Raw genomic sequence first — 24,272 nt, forward strand, 5'->3', positions numbered from 1 at the left:
TTACCAATTTTATAGATAGCAAAACTAAGCCACCACAGAGAGAAATTGAGTAACTTAACAAAAGAGTGAGCATGGATAAATGAAAAAGCAATGATTCCAACCTAGCAAACAGATTTATGAGCCTGGATACTTAACCACTATCTTATTCCCTTCAACTGCTGGACTGATAACTTTATTTTCTCCTCCCAGTCCTAATGACTTCTCCATCCCTAAAGAAAACCAAAGCCTGAGGGGTAAATCAACCCAATACTATCCTACCTTTAAAATCTGTTCAGATATCTAGGGTCTTCCTTACTTCCTTTAATATGGTACTACAAACCTGGAGATAACCATTTGCTATGAGCTACCAGTTAGCAGCAACTCGCACCTGAAAAGCTAGCATTCATGTTTTCTGCTTACCTTCTTTCTATATTTTATCTATAGTTGTCTACAGTAAGAGTTATTGTTACAGCTTTGGAGAGGGTGGTTTATAAAGAGTGACAAGGGCAAGATGTAGGTATAGGTGCGTCTTATCTACTCTTATTTTTGAGCTTAGGACTGGGAGGCTATTAATCACACTGACATCCTAAAGGAATGCCTGGCTAAAATCTATTCCTCCATTCTCAATCCACGTGTTCTTTCTTAGACTGGAAGGAACAAGGGCAGGAAAGATGAAAGGAAGAGGTGGTGGGAGAAAATTAGTAGAATGGTTGCAGAACAAAGTAAAAATCAGGGAGGAATTCCCAAGTCAAATCTACTGCTACCTACGTTGCAGGGGTAGCCAGAGAGTCACAAGGATTAGAATAAAACTGACATGGGCTATGCGCAGAATTACATCCATTTTGTGCCTGCATCACTTATCTCCTTGGACTTGGAAGGACATGGACCCCAATTCTTCCCTGTAGGAAATCATGCTTTGGATGCTGATTCCCTCCCCAGGAATCTGTAGCTTCCCTTTAACTTTCCATATTTTAGTTTTCACTTTCCTTCACTGTATTTCTCTTTGCTAAGAACATTGATCTCCAGCTTTGAGAACCTGCATGCCTATCTAAAGTGGGGGATCTAGATAGGAACTTGCCACATGACTATATTCCCAGACAGGCTTATCAGTCTTACTGCTGCAACCTGTGTGATTTTGGGGAGCCTCTTAACCACCTCTGTACCTGAATTTCACTGCCCACTTTAGGCTCTTATCATCTCTTCTCTTCCATGGGTGTTATCTAACTCAATAATAGCTTCTCTCCCACTATCTCCCCTTCACCCTGCACAAGGGAATAGCTATCAATCTTTATGGTGCTCTCGCTCTATGTCATAGGCAATAGAGACAGATGGATATATATGAAGCACAATCTTGATATAAAATCTAAAGTCTTTAGTAAGCATGTGCCTGCTTCATTATGAGGGCCGTTGCTTAGCCATTGATCAATCTACCATGCCTCAACCAAGGGCAAGAAGAAGGTCAATGAACAAACATATTGGCTATGCAATGCAGAAACATAACTGCACCTAGAAGTAACACACAGGCCATAATTACCAAATATTTTGTTGTGGGAAGGGGCAGGGTAACAGACAAAAAATTAAATAAATAATTTTAAATGAAGCTGTGATTCAAAGCCCCCATTAAGGGCCCTATTAACTAGAAGAACATACACTATGTCTCCATCATTTTCTTAAGATTGTAGGTAAATTACTTGCTAAAAGACGTAGTACTATCATTTTTATTTCCATTCTCACTATACCCACAAGTTTAAAGAGTAATCATTTCCGTTCACAGACGAGGAAACTGAGAGTAAAAGAGAAATAATGTACCCAAGGTTATATGACCAAAATGTGGCAAGGACTCCAACTCCATCCAACTCCAGAACCCAAGATTCCTCTAAACAATGAACTGCCTATAAAGGTATATTTTTTTCTAAGTAGCCTGGGTTGGACAAAGCAATTATTCTGGCAACTGGGCCCCATGCTAGGAAAAAACAATCCTTAAGTGCAATAAAACTAGTGTTTTCCCTGGGAGATTTAGCCATCATTAGCGAAAAGCTTCATTTGCAATAATGTGTGCAGCCCGCTGTAGTGGGCCAGAGCAATGCATTATCACTAACTCAGAGAGATTAATTTAACGGGCAATTATATGCTTCCTGCTTTGAAATACTTTCAGGTAACCAATAGTCATGTACTTTCTACAAATGCCATGCCAATTGTCTGCTCCCAGGTACAGAGTGTCAGAGAGTTTTGAAACTTTCTATTCCACACCATCACGTTCTCTGTGAAGGACATTTTAAAATGAGCATTCAGTGCATCTAAAATGCCCCTGCAGAGACTCTATTCTAAGCAAATTGATTCCCACATTCTCAGTATTCTTTACTGTCCTATGGCTATAATCAGCATGGGAAAATTTTAAAAAAAAGAACAAACAAACCAACAATGCCTCATCTTTCTTTGCCTCCCTTTGCAGTATTGTCAAATTTTAATGTTCGTTTATGTGTGTGTGTGTGTGTGTGTGTGTGTGTGTGTGTGTGTGCGCGCATGGTGAGGGAAACAAGGAAGAAGTTGTGAGAAGTAAATTCCTGAAACTCTCCCTTGAGATTCTAATTCAATAGGTCTCAAACGAAATCTGGACTATTCCTTGTTTGTTTGTTTTAGACAATTTTCTAGGCAATTCTAATCAATGGTCTGCTTTGAAAAACAGCCTTCTAAAATGTACTATGCTGTGTTCTCTATTCTATGTTCTTCAGTTTCCTAATCTATAAAATGGGATTAGGATTCTGGTTTTAAAAGTTCCAAAGTTCTGCTATGTTTATTAGGCAATATTCTTACTCTCCATAATAAAATGCATGCTTTTTCATTCCTTCACCTCACCCTTGTCCTTGCCCTAGCCTTCTCCTTTGCACAGAAAAACCGTTTCGTTCACTTGATTCAAGAAATGATGTAGCAGTATCAGAAGCTCAAATTGAGCAAGAAGATAAAGAGGAAAGAAGATTGAAGTGAGGTTTCTGTGGAAGGTGTTTAAGGACATATATTCTGCAGTTAAACAAAGATCTGATCCTGTACCTCCACTCTCATCCTTGCCCTCTGTGAAATTTTGACAAGTTACTTAACCTGTATCTGAGTTTCTTTGCCTGGAAAATGCTTATAATAATAGTAGTCACTTTTCAGCAAATGTTATGAGAATTAAAAGCATCGAAGGGCTTTTTTCAGTTTATTTTCTCATTGTTTTCATTATTCAGCTAAATTTACCTTAAATCTTCATCATCATGGTAAATAGCAGCCATGCACTGTAGTTTCAGGGAATGGGGTTGCTACTAGCAGAGATATACTATACAAGCCTAATCTCTTGTTAGCACATGGACATCTGCCTGCCAGCTCATGTGATAAGATGTGCCAGTTGATCAGGATAACATGTTAGATCCACTACCACTGAAATACTTGGGTAATAAACACAGTGAAGCATCTCAGCCTCGGTTAAGTGAATCTGACACAAGAGGATAAAGAATGACATCTCCATTCTCATTAAGAGATAACAGATGGACTTTGCTAAAATCCACTTTTTAGCCTAATTTCATTTGTTTAAATCTTTTATCTGATGAGATAGCATTCTGAGAGTCATTTTAAATTGTTCTCCCTGGAATGACTATTTCTTTATCATTATTAGAACCTCCCCCTATGGGGTTCTGCTATTCTGAATGGTTTTAAATATTCATCTCAGACAAATTCTATAAATCTCCTTTTAATTTTTTTCCCCAAGACATGGTCTGTGGCTTTGGAAAATAAACATCATGTGATGGGCTAAATAATCAAATCAAGTCAAAACAAGTTTCTAAGCTATGTTCATAGTAATTTCAATTTTTTTAATTTCTCTGTGATCTTATGATTTCCACTTCCCTTTATGATTAAGAAAATAGATGGTTTAATTGTACACTTAAAGTTCTCAAATTTATGCCACCCCAGCTAGTATTTTACAACTAAAATTTAAAGCTCTCTTTTGTATTCTCATCCTTGTTTGTTCTAAGAAAGAAATCTGCAAAAATTCAAACAAAGACAGATTTTTAAGTTTGCAGTCTAATATTTCTTAAGATGTTTGACATGAATTCAGCTTGTTTCTTGGCCAAAATGCACCTGTGCATGAACATCTTCCCTGACTGAGCTTGGTAGCCTTGTCACCCTGCAGCTAACAGCTCAATGCCCTGGAGCATCTATTTTTGTATCTGTTTTTCTTACTTGTGTGGGATTTCTCAAAAATGAGTCTTTTGTTTCTGGATTGTCCTGAAATGTTTCTTAAGCCAAGCTCTGTGTATTCATTGCTTTGAGTACATTTTGCTGATAACTCATAAACCTTGATGGATATTTAAGTAAAGGAGTCTATCTTATTTTAAAAAGGTGGCATGGGCCTTGGTTGTGGATCCTGTTTGTAATCCCAGCAGGAGGATCAGTGGAGGTGAGGAGTTAAAGACTAGCCTGGGCAACATGGTGAGACCCTGTTTCTAAAAAAAAAACCAAAACCAAAAACAAAAACAAAAAAAACTACAATTAGCCAGGCATGATGGCTTGTGCCTGTAGGCCCAGATGCTAGGGAGTCTAAAGCAGGAGGATCACTTGAGCCCAGGGTGGAGTGAGCTATGATATAGTGCCTGGGCAAAAGAGAGAGATCTATCTCAAAGGTAACATGAATTAAGTTTAACTCTACTAGATTGTTTTCAGTATATGTGAAAATTCTTTATAATTATTGACTATCCACATTAAAGAAGACTGGATTTTTTTGAGCTTTTTATAAAGCCTTAAGTCATCTAAATAGATACAACTTTTCTGAGAGGCTTAAGGTGATAATCAGGCTTCAACATGGTAAATTACTAAAAAAATTATGTTTACATCTTTCTAAATGAGGTTAACACTTCTAACAAACCAAAATCACCAAATGGCATGCTTTATTTGCTTCTTCTCTTCATGTTACAAGGAGAAACTGCCGTGATGGTAAGACACTAGGGAAGAAAATAGTACTCCTAAGGCAGGGGAAACAGCAAAGTTTCCAAAGCTCTGTTTCTATCCAGAGCCAGAGTTTGGCAGTGTTGAAACTACATATCAACTTGACTGCATGTTCTCTGCCTGCACTCAAGGCTGCTATAAGAAACAAACATTCGGAGGAGCCAAGATGGCCGAATAGGAACAGCTCCGGTCTACAGCTCCCAGCGTGAGCGACGCAGAAGACGGGTGATTTCTGCATTTCCATCTGAGGTACCGGGTTCATCTCACTAGGGAGTGCCAGACAGTGGGCGCAGGCCAGTGGGTGCGCGCACCGTCCGCGAGCCGAAGCAGGGCGAGGCATTGCCTCACCTGGGAAGCACAAGGGGTCAGGGAGTTCCCTTTCCGAGTCAAAGAAAGGGGTGACGGACGCACCTGGAAAATCGGGTCACTCCAACCCGAATATTGCGCTTTTCAGACCGGCTTAAAAAACGGCGCACCACGAGACTATATCCCACACCTGGCTCGGAGGGTCCTACGCCCACGGAGTCTCGCTGATTGCTAGCACAGCAGTCTGAGATCAAACTGCAAGGCAGCAGCGAGGCTGGGGGAGGGGCGCCCGCCATTGCCCAGGCTTGCTTAGGTAAACAAAGCAGCCAGGAAGCTCGAACTGGGTGGAGCCCACCACAGCTCAAGGAGGCCTGCCTGCCTCTGTAGGCTCCACCTCTGGGGGCAGGGCACAGACAAACAAAAAGACAGCAGTAACCTCTGCAGACTTAAATGTCCCTGTCTGACAGCTTTGAAGAGAGCAGTGGGTCTCCCAGCATGCAGCTGGAGATCTGAGAACGGGCAGACTGCCTCCTCAAGTGGGTCCCTGACCCCTGACCCCTGAGCAGCCTAACTGGGAGGCACCCCCCAGCAGGGGCACACTGACACCTCACATGGCAGGGTATTCCAACAGACCTGCAGCTGAGGGTCCTGTGTTAGAAGGAAAACTAACAAACAGAAAGGACATCCACACCGAAAACCTATCTGTACATCACCATCATCAAAGACCAAAAGTAGATAAAACCACAAAGATGGGGAAAAAACAGAACAGAAAAACTGGAAACTCTAAAACGCAGAGCGCCTCTCCTCCTCCAAAGGAACGCAGTTCCTCACCAGCAATGGAACAAAGCTGGATGGAGAATGACTTTGACGAGCTGAGAGAAGAAGGCTTCAGACGATCAAATTACTCTGAGCTACGGGAGGACATTCAAACCAAAGGCAAAGAAGTTGAAAACTTTGAAAAAAATTTAGAAGAATGTATAACTAGAATAACCAATACAGAGAAGTGCTTAAAGGAGCTGATGGAGCTGAAAACCAAGGCTCGAGAACTACGTGAAGAATGCAGAAGCCTCAGGAGCCGATGCGATCAACTGGAAGAAAGGGTATCAGCAATGGAAGATGAAATGAATGAAATGAAGCGAGAAGGGAAGGTTAGAGAAAAAAGAATAAAAAGAAATGAGCAAAGCCTCCAAGAAATATGGGACTATGTGAAAAGACCAAATCTACATCTCATTGGTGTACCTGAAAGTGATGGGGAGAATGGAACCAAGTTGGAAAACACTCTGCAGGATATTATCCAGGAGAACTTCCGCAATCTAGCAAGGCAGGCCAACGTTCAGATTCAGGAAATACAGAGAACGCCACAAAGATACTCCTCAAGAAGAGCAACTCCAAGACACATAATTGTCAGATTCACCAAAGTTGAAATGAAGGAAAAAATGTTAAGGGCAGCCAGAGAGAAAGGTCGGGTTACCCTCAAAGGGAAGCCCATCAGACTAACAGCGGATCTCTCGGCAGAAACCCTACAAGCCAGAAGAGAGTGGGGCCAATATTCAACATTCTTAAAGAAAAGAATTTTCAACCCAGAATTTCATGTCCAGCCAAACTAAGCTTCATAAGTGAAGGAGAAATAAAATACTTTACAGACAAGCAAATGCTGACAGATTTTGTCACCACCAGGACTGCCCTATAAGAGCTCCTGAAGGAAGCGCTAAACATGGAAAGGAACAACCGGTACCAGCTGCTGCAAAATCATGCCAAAATGTAAAGACCATCGAGGCTAGGAAGAAACTGCATCAACTAACGAGCAAAATCACCAGCTAACATCATAATGACAGGATCAAATTCACACATAACAATATTAACTTTAAATGTAAATGGACTAAATTCTCCAATTAAAAGACACAGACTGGCAAATTGGATAAAGAGTCAAGACCCATCAGTGTGCTGTATTCAGGAAACCCATCTCACGTGCAGAGACACACATAGGTTCAAAATAAAAGGATGGAGGAAGATCTACCAAGCAAATGGAAAACAAAAAAAGGCAGGGGTTGCAATCCTAGTATCTGATAAAACAGACTTTAAACCAACAAAGATCAAAAGAGACAAAGAAGGCCATTACATAATGGTAAAGGGATCAATTCAACAAGAAGAGCTAACTATCCTAAATATATATGCACCCAATACAGGAGCACCAAGATTCATGAAGCAAGTCCTGAGTGACCTACAAAGAGACTTAGACTCCCACACATTAATAATGGGAGACTTTAACACCCCACTGTCAACATTAGACAGATCAATGAGACAGAAAGTCAACAAGGATACCCAGGAATTGAACTCAGCTCTGCACCAAGCAGACCTAATAGACATCTACAGAACTCTCCACCCCAAATCAACAGAATATACATTTTTTTCAGCACCACACCACACCTATTCCAAAATTGACCACATAGTTGGAAGTAAAGCTCTCCTCAGCAAATGTAAAAGAACAGAAATTATAACAAACTGTCTCTCAGACCACAGTGCAATCAAACTAGAACTCAGGATTAAGAATCTCACTCAAAGCTGCTCAACTACATGGAAACTGAACAACCTGCTCCTGAATGACTACTGGGTACATAATGAAATAAAGGCAGAAATAAAGATGTTCTTTAAAACCAACTAGAACAAAGACACAACATACCAGAATCTCTGGGACGCATTCAAAGCAGTGTGTAGAGGGAAATTTATAGCACTAAATGCCCACAAGAGAAAGCAGGAAAGATCCAAAATTCACACCCTAACATCACAATTAAAAGAACTAGAAAAGCAAGAGCAAACACATTCAAAAGCTAGCAGAAGGCAAGAAATAACTAAAATCAGAGCAGAACTGAAGGAAATAGAGACACAAAAAACCCTTCAAAAACTCAATGAATCCAGGAGCTGGTTTTTTGAAAGGATCAACAAAATTGATAGACCACTAGCAAGACTAATAAAGAAAAAAAGAGAGAAGAATCAAATAGACACAATAAAAAATGATAAAGGGGATATCACCACCGATCCCACAGAAATACAAACTACCATCAGAGAATACTACAAACACCTCTACGCAAATAAACTAGAAAATCTAGAAGAAATGGATACATTCCTCGACACATACACTCTCCCAAGACTAAACCAGGAAGAAGTTGAATCTCTGAATAGACCAATAAAAGGAGCTGAAATTGTGGCAATAATCGATAGTTTACCAACCAAAAAGAGTCCAGGACCAGATGGATTCACAGCCGAATTCTACCAGAGGTACAAGGAGGAACTGGTACCATTCCTTCTGAAACTATTCCAATCAATAGAAAAAGAGGGAATCCTCCCTAACTCATTTTATGAGGCCAGCATCATTCTGATACCAAAGCCGGGCAGAGACACAACCAAAAAAGAGAATTTTAGACCAATATCCTTGATGAACATTGATGCAAAAATCCTCAATAAAATACTGGCAAAACGAATCCAGCAGCACATCAAAAAGCTTATCCACCATGATCAAGTGGGCTTCATCCCTGGGATGCAAGGCTGGTTCAATATACGCAAATCAATAAATGTAATCCAGCATATAAACAGAGCCAAAGACAAAAACCACATGATTATCTCAATAGACGCAGAAAAAGCCTTTGACAAAATTCAACAACCCTTCATGCTAAAAACTCTCAATAAATTAGGTATTGATGGGACGTATTTCAAAATAATAAGAGCTATCTATGACAAACCCACAGCCAATATCATACTGAATGGGCAAAAACTGGAAGCATTCCCTTTGAAAACTGGCACAAGACAGGGATGCCCTCTCTCACCACTCCTATTCAACATAGTGTTGGAAGTTCTGGCCAGGGCAATTAGGCAGGAGAAGGAAATAAAGGGTATTCAATTAGGAAAAGAGGAAGTCAAATTGTCCCTGTTTGCAGATGACATGATTGTATATCTAGAAAACCCCATTGTCTCAGCCCAAAATCTCCTTAAGCTGATAAGCAACTTCAGCAAAGTCTCAGGATACAAAATCAATGTACAAAAATCACAAGCATTCTTATATACCAACAACAGACAAACAGAGAGCCAAATCATGAGTGAACTCCCATTCACAATTGCTTCAAAGAGAATAAAATACCTAGGAATCCAACTTACAAGGGATGTGAAGGACCTCTTCAAGGAGAACTACAAACCACTGCTCAAGGAAATAAAAGAGGATACAAACAAATGGAAGAACATTCCATGCTCATGGGTAGGAAGAATCAATATCGTGAAAATGGCCATACTGCCCAAGGTAATTTACAGATTCAATGCCATCCCCATCAAGCTACCAATGACTTTCCTCACAGAATTGGAAAAAACTACTTTAAAGTTCATATGGAACCAAAAAAGAGCCCGCATCGCCAAGTCAATCCTAAGCCAAAAGAACAAAGCTGGAGGCATCACACTACCTGACTTCAAACTATACTACAAGGCTACAGTAACCAAAACAGCATGGTACTGGTACCAAAACAGAGATATAGATCAATGCAACAGAACAGAGCCCTCAGAAATAACGCCGCCTACCTACAACTATCTGATCTTTGACAAACCTGAGAAAAACAAGCAATGGGGAAAGGATTCCCTATTTAATAAATGGTGCTGGGAAAACTGGCTAGCCATATGTAGAAAGCTGAAACTGGATCCCTTCCTTACACCTTATACAAAAATCAATTCAAGATGGATTAAAGATTTAAACGTTAGACCTAAAACCATAAAAACCCTAGAAGAAAACCTAGGCACTACCATTCAGGACATAGGCATGGGCAAGGACTTCATGTCCAAAACACCAAAAGCAATGGCAACAAAAGCCAAAATTGACAAATGGGATCTAATTAAACTAAAGAGCTTCTGCACAGCAAAAGAAACTACCATCAGAGTGAACAGGCAGCCTACAAACTGGGAGAAAATTTTCGCAACCTACTCATCTGACAAAGGGCTAATATCCGGAATCTACAATGAACTCAAACAAATTTACAAGAAAAAAACAAACAACCCCATCAAAAAGTGGGCAAAGGACATGAACAGACACTTCTCAAAAGAAGACATTTATGCAGCCAAAAAACACATGAAAAAATGCTCATCATCACTAGCCATCAGAGAAATGCAAATCAAAACCACTATGAGATACCATCTCATACCAGTTAGAATGGCAATCATTAAAAAGTCAGGAAACAACAGGTGCTGGAGAGGATGTGGAGAAATAGGAACACTTTTACACTGTTGGTGGGACTGGAAACTAGTTCAACCATTGTGGAAGTCAGTGTGGCGATTCCTCAGGGATCTAGAACTAGAAATACCATTTGACCCAGCCATCCCATTACTGGGTATATACCCAAAGGACTATAAATCATGCTGCTATAAAGACACATGCACACGTATGTTTATTGCGGCATTATTCACAATAGCAAAGACTTGGAACCAACCCAAATGTCCAACAATGATAGACTGGATTAAGAAAATGTGGCACATATACATCATGGAATACTATGCAGCCATAAAAAATGATGACTTCATGTCCTTTGTAGGGACATGGATGAAATTGGAAATCATCATTCTCAGTAAACTATCGCAAGAACAAAAAACCAAACACGGCATATTCTCACTCATAGGTGGGAATTGAACAATGAGATCACATGGACACAGGAAGGGGAATATCACACTCTGGGGACTGTGGTGGGGGGGGCGGGGGGAGGGATAGCATTGGAAGATATACCTAATGCTAGATGACGAGTTAGTGGGTGTAGCGCACCAGCATGGCACATGTATACATATGTAACTAACCTGCACAATGTGCACATGTACCCTAAAACTTAAAGTATAATAAAAAAAAAAAAAAGAAACAAACATTCTTCACTCTTGAATCTTCACTCTTTCACACAAGCGTTCTTTTTATAAGGCTTGGTAGAGGACATTTTCCTCACATCACAAAACCAGAAAAAACATTGTTTCTCCTGAACACCTGGATTACTCTTTTTTAAATACAAACAAAGTAATCATTTTTCACAGAGATATTTCCCCTGTTTTCACATTAGCTGCCAGACAGTGAGTGAATTTTAGGGCATATTTCCTATAATTATCATCTATATTTCTCTATATGGTATGTGTGCCCATGAATCTTTCTTAACATTGATTTTTATTTCTTATTCAAATTCCCTTTACCTCAACTCTCTTGGAATTTATTGTCTCCTTTGAATTTGTGCACAACTTCAAAGTCCTTTATAGAAAGAAGCTATTCAGATAATAAGCAACATGTTTTTTGCTAGGAAATAAAATGGACATCCTCTCCCTTTTCCATTTTTTGTATAATAAAAGTTGATAAAGTAGATGTAAGCTCTTAAAGACAGTTTGGCACCAAATTTCACCATATAGCTATTGTTTAGAGACTCCATTATAGTTTTATCAAGTGCAAAGAAGAAAAAAAAGTCAATAAAAAGATTAACAAGTTATTTTAACAACCCTAGACTCTCCTCCCCCATAATAAAATAGCTCAAATGTTTTCACAAAATGTATGAAAAAAATTACATTGAATTGATATTGATATAATTTTAAACAGCCTATGATTACTGTGTAAAATACATTAGACTCTAAAAAAAACAAAAAATTATCTATAATCTCTCCTACCCAAAATAATACATATTGATAAAGCTTCCATCTATATTTTCCACATGTATGTATGCATGTGTATGATTTAAATATGTGTTTCTATATTGTATGTACCATACTATATGTATATGTGTGTCCAATTATTTAAATTATAGTGTACAGTTCTTGAATTTTTTTAACCTACTGTTTTATACTAAATCTTTTCCTCTTACTTTAAAATGCAAAGCATTGTTTTTAATGGCTGAATAATGGATATAAGAATGTTTCCTTCTCACATATCCTGAAACATTTCAGTAATTTACCACAGTGTAAGTTATTTTGTGTTGAGATGATACATTCAAAGGCTCCTTGGGAACAATCAAATAAGTTCCAATGTCAAGGTACCTAACAGAAACAGGGGCTGCTTATCACGTTATTAATAAGCATAAATTGAACTCAGTCACACAAGGAAGAAATGAACAAATCCAGGCACTTACTAATTTCAGTAGCAATGATTGTTATGTTGTGCCATACACTTAATTCTCTGTCAAGTGGTGTTGCCAGCGTTATCTTCCCATCGTCTGCATTAATGTTGAACTGCCTCTCCAGGTCAGTGTGCCGGTCGATGGAAAACCTACAAAACAGACACATCTGTAATCTACTTCAATGTTTATATGATCCATACATTCCACAGCAGACCTTTAGTAATCCTTGGAGAGCCATATTTGTGAAATCAAATGAATTGGGAAACTCAGTGGCATCATAATTTATAAAACAAAAATGACTGAATGAGGCACGAGAAACTTAGTAATTATTGTCCAAGGAGCAATTAGCTACATATGCAACATGTAGTTCATAAACTGCCATCAGTTTCAATAGACAGCATCTTCAAAAATGGATGCTGATGAAGAGTTAATTGGACAATCCATCACATTTATTGGACAGCTTATGATAATTAGCAGTTGCCACAAAATATCATATAAAACAATGAATTCAAGCCCAAAGCAAGATGGCACTAGGCAGCATGTTACGTATGTCCATTCAAATAAAACATGTATTTTGTTAAACTTTCATTTGACTGTACTGCATTTATGGGATTTCATTTTGTTGTTGGTGGTGGTCGTTTGTTTTGTTTTATTTCCTTTTTAAGTAAAGTGTGTATTTAGGTTTTCTATTAGTCTCAGTCCATAGAAATTGGATAGTTGTTGATTTTATGGTTGTTTTTAAAAAGTTTTTTATTCTATAGTTAATGTTTTTTAAAAGTTAGAATCGATATTTTAACATATTTAAACACTACAGTCTACTAAATTAAGAATTTCAAAGGGACATATTAGTAGTTCTTTTATCAAGCAAACTCGTTCAGATAAGAAAATACGTGAGATGTGTGGTGTCTAGAGCAAACTGCTTCTCAGGACCACTAAGTATCAGGGTAGTATCAAGACAAAGAAAAGAAATTATTCTCACGACATTTATTAATATCTTTTTTATACACCAAGATTCATTTCCTGGCTATGGAATGCTGGACCCAATAATCTTTAAGTTTTAAAGACTACAAGGTGGACTATTGGCCCGTAAGTAAGCAGTGATGCACTAAAACAGGATAGGATGGATGCCCAAAGAAGGATATATGCAATTGCATTTCAGGAAGAAAGACTGAAGAAGGCCTTCATGATTGAGGTGATGGCTTAGGAAGTGCACATGAAATCTCTCTATTCATTGATACTCATTAAACTCAAAGCTGAAGCATGGTCCATGCCAGTTAGTACTGAGCGCATTTCTTATACATGTTCTTGATAGATACTTATTATATGACAAAGAATAAGACTATGCCATTATAAAAAAATAAATTCTCCATAATCCTCCCACTATAATTTTGCACTGTTAATATTTTAGTAGAGTTCATTGAAAACATTATGTATGTATGTATATGAATATGCATCTACCAATTTGTACCTATACCTACCTATGAAGATAGCTAGATAAATAACTATACAGCAAGTTACTAGTTAGATAGCTAGATAGGTATAGATAGATATATTAATGGATTTTTCCTTCTCATTTTAGCTATTTCTTTTTCATTAGAGAAGGTATGCATATCATTTATACTAGATTCAAAAGTCATTGTAAAAAGAACTTCTTGTTAAATCCTGCCCACCAAAGATAAGCATAATTAAAATATTTGGAATAATAGTTAAAATGACTTAATTTCTCAATTGTTTATTGAGAAATCATTTGAAAAAATATATTATGAAATGAAATAATAACTGCCCATTTAGTAATGACTTCACTACAAATAAAAACTAAGACACTGACTTTTACCTGTACACTAGGCATTTACAAATCACTCCCATCCCCAATCCCCAGGATAATTGAAGAAATTCAGAGAGAATTTAAGAACTGAGAGACAGGTAAGTTAACATTGCTCTCAACAAAATCCTGAACATGAGGATGTGTTTATTGCAAAGTGTTTCAATGTATTGTATTATGGAAAGAAGACCAAAAGCCATTTTCCTGGGGAATAATGATGGCTGATTCAACCAATGATATTCCAAGTTTAACTGTAAAATAACTAAACAGACATGTGTTTTGCTTCAGATATCATGTGTACTCTGACTCTTAAAAAAGCTAAAAAATGTCCAGAGGATTAATTATCACTTTCTGCATTATATTCATAAATAACTTTGCAGGCATTTCTGGTTCTAGTAATTTTATTATCTCACTGCTGATATTTCACACATCCATGCGTCAACCAATTTCCCAGAGGCCACAGTAAACAAGAATCAGTCTGATCACTGATACTCATGAATCCCAAATCAGAAACACATTCCATGGCTATTTGGTTGCTGTCCAGTAATTGCCTAGAATTTCTAGCCCCAAAGAAGCATGGGGAGCAAAAACGGGGTATTTGGAAGTTGGCATTTAAAAAATGTTGTTGTTTGTGAATCCTTTATTCAAATATGCATCATGCAGAACTCAAATTTAGAGCAAATTATATCTCTATTACTTATGTATTGCTGTTTCTAGGATAATTAGTAAATTCACTGAGCTTCAATTTATTTGCTGGTGAAATAGGAATTATTTATATCCCAGGAACAGTTGTGAAGACTAAAAACAAAGCTTAAATCAATCTCTGGCACTAAGTATGTACTAAAAATAGGCTCATCATCATCATCGTCATCTTCATCTCCCATTAAATGATATATTAATAAACTTCCCTATTTAGAAAGTAGTGAAGAATGCTCTTCCTTGGGAATTTATAAATGGCAGAAAACTTTAAAAAAATGTGTGTTATTTAACTCCCATAACTCTAACAAAGGCAGAGATATTTTTCTCATTTTTTAAAGTTCCAGATCATGACAGACTTTATGGGGTGAGTCATAGGAATTTATAAAATAGTCTATAAATACAGCCCTTTAGTGAGATCAGAGGTAGGAATGTCATAATATTACCAGATTACACAATAGAAGGAACTTGATGGGAAAGAAATGACTTAGTTTAAAATTCACTTTAAAGTCTACCTCAACTATTTTGGAAAACTCCTGCTGCTTCTGTAGAAATTTCACACATTTTATTGCCTAGTAGACTTTATGATAACAGCTCCCAAGAATGACTAAACAGCACAAAAATTCTGACTCAACGTTTTGGTCAACAAGCATGCATGAAACACCAAATTTGTACCAAGCACAGTGCTAGATTCCTTTTCCTTCTCCCACCCTTCTTTTCTTGGTTTCTTATATAATGAATAACAGAAAAATAAAACTCTTAGGAACTAGGACATTTTAGGTAACACAACTGTTAAACAGCGGAACCAGAATGAATACTCGCTTCTGAGTCATTGTGAAGTTCATGCATAAACCAAACACATAAAGGGCTTATCTTATTCATGCATAAAATGGGGATAGTAATAGTCCCTGGCTAACAAGATTGCTGTGAAGATCACATGAGATGATAGGTGTGCCACACTTTACCAACATGTGTGTGCTGACCGCTGTGTATAACACAGTGTGAAGGGCCCTCATATCATTTGTATCATGGTGACATCCTTGAATGCCTACACATGTACTCAATTTTCTGAACCCCAAACTGGGACACAACATTCTATGATTTGAATGTTTGTGTGATTCCCAAAATACATATGTTGATATCCTAACTCCCAAGGTGATCGTATTAGAAGGTGGGGCTTTCAGGAGGTGATTAGGATGTGAAGCCCTCACAAATGAAATTAGTTCCCTTATAAAAAAGACCCCAGGGATCTAGCAAGCCCCCTTCCTCCATTGTGAGGACACAGTGAGAAGTTGATTGTCTGCAACCCAGAAGAGGGCCCTTACCAGAATCCGATCACACTGGCATGCTAATCTTGGACTTCCCAACTTTCAGAATTTCGATTAATTCATTTCTTTTTTTTTTAACTTTATTTGAAGTTCAGAGTTACATGTGCAGGATGTGCAGGTTTATTACATAGGTAAATGTGTGTCATGGGGATTCATTGTACAGATTATTTCATCACCCAGGTCTTAAGCCTAGTATCCATTAGTTATTTTTTCTGATCCTCTCCCTCCTCCCTCCCTCTACCCTCTAGCAGGCCCCAGTGTTCCCCTTTATGTGTCCATATGTCTCATCATTTAGTTCCCTCTTATAAGTGAGTATATGTGGTATTTGGATTTATGTTCCTGAATTAGTTTGCTAATGATAATGGCCTCCAGCTCCATCCATGTCCCTGCAAAGGACATGATCTCATTCTTTTTTATGGCTGCATAGTATTCCATGGTATATGTGTGCCACATTTTCCTTATCCAGTCTATTGTTGATGGGCATTTCAGTTGGTTCCATGTCTTTGGTATTGTGAATAGTGCTGCAATTAACCTATGCATGCCTGTGTCTTTATAACGGAATGATTTATATTCCTTTGGGTATATGCCCAGTAATGGAATTGCTGGGTCAAATGATATTTCTGTCTCTAGGTAACTGAGGAATCACCACACTGCCTTCCACGATGGTTGAACTAATTCATATTCCCACTAACAGAAGAAATTAATTTCTATACGGTTTATAAGCCATCCAGTCTATTTTGTAGTTTGCATTTTGTATAGAAGCCCAAATGGACTACAAAACAGAATATAACAAGTGATTATTTTTCTCATTTTGGAATATACTGATTTGAACATATCTTAGACACCTAAATATTAAAATGCAATATCTAAGTAAACATGATTTATTGAATAAGATGGTAAGAATTTAGACCTTCCCTGAAAGCCAGAGAATAAAAGCTTCCATCTCCCAAGTTCTTTACAGGCCTATGAATAAACTTTAAATCCACCTTCCTTTTCTCACAAACTCTGCTCTGCTGCTTGAAGACATGACCTGGATTTCTGTGTGTTTCTTTAGGCTGCCAGGAGAGTCTTAGTCCAAAGGCCACTCATATACCCATAATCTCCTCACAAAAAACACGGGTCCACAGTCTGTTATCCTGAGTTCTCATCTTAGTCTCATTACTGGCGTATATGTGATTTAGTTATGTTATTACTGTTCCCTGATCTGTAAAATGGGGATTGTACCATGATTTATGAACTTTAAATGAGGTAATGCTTATAAAATACTTATTAAGGGTCTGACACCAAAACAAAAGCTCTGTAAACATGTATTTTAACAGCTTTAGTGTCAGCATTATTTATAAGGAAAAGACTGTAAGATTTCTATTGATGATTCCCTGACTTTTTCTAAGGTCCAAGGTAGTTTTCCTTTCACTGTTTACTTCTCTGTCCTTAAAGAAGTTCATCTGGGCCTTAATGTTAGTGTCCTGCGTGTACACAGGAAATTAGAGGAATTTGGTTTAAGTGATGAAAGATGAAGCTGGGAAGGGAGAATAAATAGGAACCGATCTCTGCATTTCTGGTACCAGTATTTTTTTTCCACCAACTTTTCTAACCAAAATCTCTGTCCTTGAACTGATCATTGAAGATTCAAAGGTTTATTAGGTTGATTTTTGTATTCATATTGAGTAGTTTATAAGCCTTTAATCTTAGTTATAAGATTAATCACAAAATCAGAAAGGATGCCATTTTTGGAATGCTCTCAGCAAATGCTGTCCTAATCACCCTCCTCCCCACCCCCATACCACAGCTATGCCAACCCCATCTCTAGCTGCAAAGATTCAGTTTGCTTTTTTCTGGTCCTCACAGCTGCCACTATACATTCCACCATTTTAATTCCTCCCCTCTCTTCCTACTCATTTCACTGTGTGATAAAACTGCAGCATCAATAAAGGACAACATTTCATTACAAAACTCTGATATAGGCCCTTTCTTTAAGCCAAATCACAGAAAATACTTAAAAAAAAAGAGTGGGTTAAAAATAACAACTCTGGGGTAATGACTTAAATTTCAGAATTCAAAGTATCTGTATCATGTAATTTCTCAGGCATCATGATTTGAGGTAGAAATCTCAGAAGTAGATCCTCAAGCCACTTTGTTTTCCTGTGATTCTCAGCATCCTTCTGAGTAGCACCACATAAAATAGAATAAAAACAACCTGAGGAGCCAGAGAGTCTTCAGTGGAATCTCACCTGGGGGAATAACATTGAAACTCTCAGGTTGGTGCAAAAGTAATTATGGTTTTTGCTATCTCTTAATCTCAGATGTTCATCTATAAATAGGAGAAAATCTACTTCACAAGGATTGCTTTGCAGTAAATGAGTTGATAAATGATTCACATTTAGACACAAAAATAAATAAATATAAATGATGAGCCAATTCCTCAATCTGTAAGAGTTCTCTTAAAGCCCAAATTGACTGTGGAGATGAATATCCAAAAACGAAAAGAAATAAATAAGAACTACTAGTCACATGTTTTAGTAGCTTCGGGAAAGACAGAATTCTTTATGTGACACTCAAAAAGTATTTCCAAACTCTTCGTGGTGTTTGTCTATACCAGGGTTTACTGTTTTCAAAATATCTCTTACTATAGGTATCTCCATAGAGCATAGACTTCAAGCAAAGAGATGAGAAGCTATATCATGTTTCCTTGCTCACATCTTACCTACAGGAGCCTTTTATACCTGGCCCTAGAGTTTGCTGATTGACCCTTTTTTAAGAATTTTCTCTCCTATTTCTGTATAAACATTTGCCTGACCTTTGCTCTTTAAGCACAAGGAAAGAATGTTTGATTCATATAGCATCACATAGATTGTGAAGTTACTCAAAAAAGGCTTGCTGGAAGGATGTGTGAACACTTATTAAGCATGGAATATTATTTTGTGTGAAACATAGTACTAAAAATATGAGGAAAGGGAATAGATGGGAGAGAAAAAGAGAAATAAAAAAGGGAATAGATAAGAGAGAAAAAGAGAAAGAAAAAAATTAATTTGGATCCTACTTTTCACATTGAAAAGGCTAATGAGTTTTATTTTAGGTTAAAAAAAATCTAGTATTTTTATCTTTAGAATTGAAGTTTCTGTTCTAATTTCTTGAGAATTGTGCATATATTGGATTTGCTGCTCATTTGCAGAATTATTTGAAATGCTTTAGACAGAAGAGCTAGTTTTGAGAAGAATAGCATGCACATTGGAGAGTCATCTTCCTGCCACAGTAAGAAGAAACTTCTCATTAACACAATGGGAAGTGGCATGTGAGAAAATGGGCTCCTTGGGTCACATTAATATCAATTCTAATGATGGAAGTTTTAGAAATAGACAGTCTCTTTCTACTGCAATAGATATAGTTTAGAAACTGCATTGTCCTTGATAACTAATATTCACAAGAGACTTATTTAAACTTTCTCACTTTTAATCCAACAAGTATCCTGATTGGCTTCTAATACCACCATTCCTCTAATCTACAGTAGTATTTCTTGGAAGTAAATGCTAAGGAACTGATCCTTTTACTTTGCGGAATTAAGGATACAAATTCAAGAAAATTCCTAATGGCTTAGCAACTTGTTCAAAGACGATAATTTAATACACAGCACACTAACCACAGACACAAGCCAATGTCACCAGTTCATTCAATTCAGAGTAGCTTCGAGAGATCAAAAGTAAATTTAAGAAAATACACTGGTGTAGTGGTTGAGAATAGGTCAAAATGGCCAACTGAATATTATTGCATTGGGGAAATAACATACTTCTGCATTGCTGCTACTGTTGATATTAAATAGAAACTTTCACCAGAGTAATATGTTTCCTCAATTAACACAGCCCAGCTGCATACATTTCATACTGATATTTGGCACAAAAATTCCACCTCTTTCTGTGTGTGTGTGTGGACTTACATTAGATTTTTTGTTGCTAACATATATTTATTTAAAGCATCTCCTACCTCCTTTCCCTCAACCCATACCCAATGCTACATATCCACACAAAGCCTCCATCTCCTACTCTATTTTGTTTTTTTGTAATAAAGAACATCAATCTGTGACAATATACATGCAGAACACTTTCAAGATTTTCAGAACAAAGTTTTGAATGTCGTGGATCTTTCATTTTTACTCCCTGTGACTCCAGTACAACACGAACAAACTGCAATTAAGTCTGGAATGTACACAGCAGCCATACAGGTTACCATAACAGATAAATGAATAATAGGTGAAAAAAGTTATTCTGAACTGCATTCTTTCTACTGCAATTTGTGCGAAACAGCTGATGATTTTTCCAGGAACTAACTCTTTTATTCATAACTTCTGTGCTATGCCAATTTATATATCAGCACTTCAATTACCTCATCTAAAAAATGAGAACAACAGGATTGCCTTAAAAGGTTAAGGTATGCCCCAAATGAGAGTATGCAATCAAGATTTCCTTGTACTTTAAAACATGGCATCACAGTGAGTGTTTATCATTACTTGTAGATGACACTGCCAAATATCCAGATTTTTTTAAAATAACAACAAACATATTTGAAAGATTCTGGTGTGAGGGCTCTACATGGAAAAAGCCATAATTTTGTGATATTTCTATTTGCTATTTGCACCAATAGGGTGAAGCAAATTCACTCAACACGATCAATGTATCTTTACATTATTTAGGGTAAATATAGAACTCTCAGATTCCAAATCTATGTCAATTCATTTCAGGTCTCATTTCTTCAGTGTGTTTGTGTTGTTTTAAAGTTTGTTCCACAAACACTTTTAGAAAATAACATAATAAAACCATAATCACATGTATAATTTTATGTAACACTGGAACAAAAAAAAAGAAAATGCTCCAGAGTAAATCCCACATTCAGTTTGACTCATGATCAATTCTTCAATGTTTACATAATACTTTTGAAAAATTTGAACTTTTTTCCCCTGGAGCCAGGAAAATAATAGTGCATTATGAGAATTCTAAATGTGATGATGTAACAAAAAATGCAAAAATGAAATGCAGTTTTACACATTGTGAAAGGATTACATTGCAAATTTGATTTTTTATTTAATGTCAACAAAGTTTTAGTGACTGCCCCTTAGTGCCGAGTATCATAAAACTATCATGCTTGTATGTGTGCATAATATTAAGAGGAGTGACATGATATAAACTCAGGAGTGATATGATCTAAACCACAGCTGAATTGCATAGAACTTTATATGGTAGCAGAAATATGCTCTGTGTTATCCAGTATGGTAACCACTAACTATATGTGGCTATTTCACCCTAGCTATCTAGCTAGTGTAACTGAGAAATTGAAATTTTTACTTTATTTAATTTAAATTAATTTTCTGTAACTTCAATGAGCTGTATTTGGCTAGTGGCCACAATATCAAACAGCACAGGTCGAAACTGAGGTAGAAATCATCTTGGCAGCTGTGTGGAGATCAAAGGATAAGAGATGAGCAAATGAGGCTGTTATCACTACTCAAGTTAGAGATGATGGTGTTTGAGCTTAGGAAGTAAAATAAACCAGGCATAGTGATTATTTGAACATGGAAAGCAAAGGAAGTGAAGAAGTCTTGAAGAAACACTCCTATAGTATGTTTGTAACATGTTCAATTACTCTATATTGGTTTTCAAGTTAAAAATAGTTCTGTCTTGTTTTCTTTTACCCATTTCTATGTAATTATTCAAGTACAACAAATGGATCAGAAATGTTCACATAAATATTAGCAAAAGATGACTAAATATTTCTAGAAATGCATGGAATCCGGAAGTTCTGGTGGCTATTTGAGATTTATCTCTTGTGTGTGCTTCTCTATGATGGGAGGTTAGGAGTTGTGAGGATAAACTCTCTTACACCAAAGCCCTCATGATGACCTTGATCCTCACTGCTTACCCCCAGGACACAAGAAGCCCAATCGATTTCTATGAATGTCCACAGGTCCACATTGACCCAGCAATGCCAGGGGCAATCTACAAGTGAAGAGAATCTTTCCCCTCCCTGAAATGATATCTTTTTGGAGCTGTTGATCGTGCCTGTCATACTTCTCTCCATAGGAAATAGAGTCAAGGTTGACAAACGCTAATAGGTAACAGAAGAGACAACAGAATGATGAAGTATAAAAAAAGCATCTTACAATGTAACAGTTCAGACCATAGGACCAGATCCAGTACTCATATTTAATAATATATTTAATGCATTTATTGAATCTTTCCTAATTTTTGACCTTTCTGCTAAGCCCTATATATTAATTTTTCATTTAATCTTTCCTATAATCTAGTGGAGTAGCCCATTATAGACTTTCTTGTCTCTCAATGTTTATAGTTGTAAAATGGGGATAACATGCATTTCCTCCGTCATAAAGTTAGTAAGAGAAATATGTATAATATCTTGACCATAGTATCTGTCACATAGTAAACTCTTATTAAATGTTGGAAAGTTATGAGGATGGTGATATTTGATTATGTAAGTGGTTTCCATTTTGGTAAAAATTGTTTACCATATAGAAAAAAACATATTTGAGGAAAGCATGCACACCAAAATTAATTTTAAAAGTAGTGTATAACTATGTCAAAATAGGTTATGTAAAATGTCATAAATGAGTATATAATTTGAAATTTTAATTGGATATTAAGGTTCATTTACCAAATAATAAGGAGTTTTGGTAAATACTGGGAATGAACTGTTAAGCAAGATATGGTCTATTAACTCTTTTCCCCCCCCCAAAGACAAGGTCTCACGAGGTCTCCCTCTGTCACCTAGGCTGGAGTTCAGTGGCACGATCCCAGCTCACTGTCACCTTCACTTCCCAGGGTCAAGTGATCCTCTTGCCTCAGCCTCCTGGGTAGCTGAGATTACGGGTATGCACCACCACGCCCGGCTATTTCTTTGTATGTTTTATAGATAGGAGGTTTCACCATGTTGCCTAGGCTGGTGGTCTCTCAACCTTAAAACTAGAGATGCATTTATATTCAAATGATGTGCTTATTTACACACTATAATAATAGGATAAACACACCATTCCAGTGTTCTGCCAGATGTAATTCATTCTGGGGACAAAAATATTTTTTACCAAAAATGCTCATTCCTAAACGCAATGTCTACCCACACGGTCTCACCCGGTCTTGTACAATTAAACAAATGCAAAATGCAAGATCATGTATTTGATGTCCAATAAATGTTAGCCAGAAATGTGTCCTCTTTTGCCATTAAACAGACAATTCTCTTCACTACAGTCTACACCCTGTTCCTCTTCCATACTTGTTCTGTCCAATCTCAGACCCTTGGCTTTGGAAGGGCATTTAGGTCTTTTCCTGTGCTTTGTACCACTAAATATATTTTCCATGACTTCGACCCATTAAGGACTTTCATAAATTGTATTCTCATTTACTATGAAGGTGTGAACCTCGGTAGATCATCCCAAACTTGATTTGTCCCCTATTGCCTGTTTCAAAGGCACTTCAGCTAGACCCGTCCCATTCCCCAGCAAGCAGACTTCATACTCATGGGGTAGAGCTAATAAACATTTGACAAATGAATGAAAATAGAAGCTCTCCATTTCCACCGTGCTCTCTTCTTAAAATATGCAATATTATGTTTTCCTCTGCAACATTAAGTCAAATCTGATTGTCCTTATCAAAAGCAAAGCTGTATAATACATCATGTCAAACCAGAATGTAGAAATATAAGGAAAAATAAAGGTTTAGTTAAAATGACTCCCATAAATATTTGAACATCAGATAAGGATGTCAATCTCCCTTTGTCATGATGCAAAATAGAGGATTTATTTTGCCTTATGAGTATAATAATGTTAGATATCATGGCTCAGCCTACACAAGCATCTTTGTTTCTCTCAGAATATAAGCATTATTATTAAGTTTTGTTCCCTAGAGAATACAGAAGCTTCACCAATCAGAAAAAAAAAAGCTGATTTTAAACCCTAGATCAGCACTTTCTTTTTTTGTTTCTCTCTCAAGATTCTTGTGCAATCTCTACCACCTTAGATCACTAGTTTTAAAATATTTTACAAATACATGTAATTTGATTATT

At 37.1% G+C, this 24,272-nt stretch overlaps 1 protein-coding gene across 5 annotated transcripts in view; it reads right to left on the minus strand.

Annotated features, from left to right (window-relative positions):
- The window catches only part of CDH8 (cadherin 8), a 389,189-nt gene that overhangs the window by 129,719 nt on the left and 235,198 nt on the right, over nucleotides 1-24,272 (minus strand). For all 5 annotated transcript variants that reach the window (NM_001796.5, XM_005255760.5, XM_047433482.1 and 2 more), the window contains exon 8: nucleotides 12,378-12,514. In NM_001796.5, coding sequence (NP_001787.2) covers nucleotides 12,378-12,514 — 137 coding nt within the window. The remainder of the gene's footprint in view (nucleotides 1-12,377; nucleotides 12,515-24,272) is intronic.

Source organism: Homo sapiens, chromosome 16, assembly GCF_000001405.40.
Source record: "Homo sapiens chromosome 16, GRCh38.p14 Primary Assembly".
In the NCBI taxonomy this organism is placed as follows: domain Eukaryota; kingdom Metazoa; phylum Chordata; class Mammalia; order Primates; family Hominidae; genus Homo; species Homo sapiens.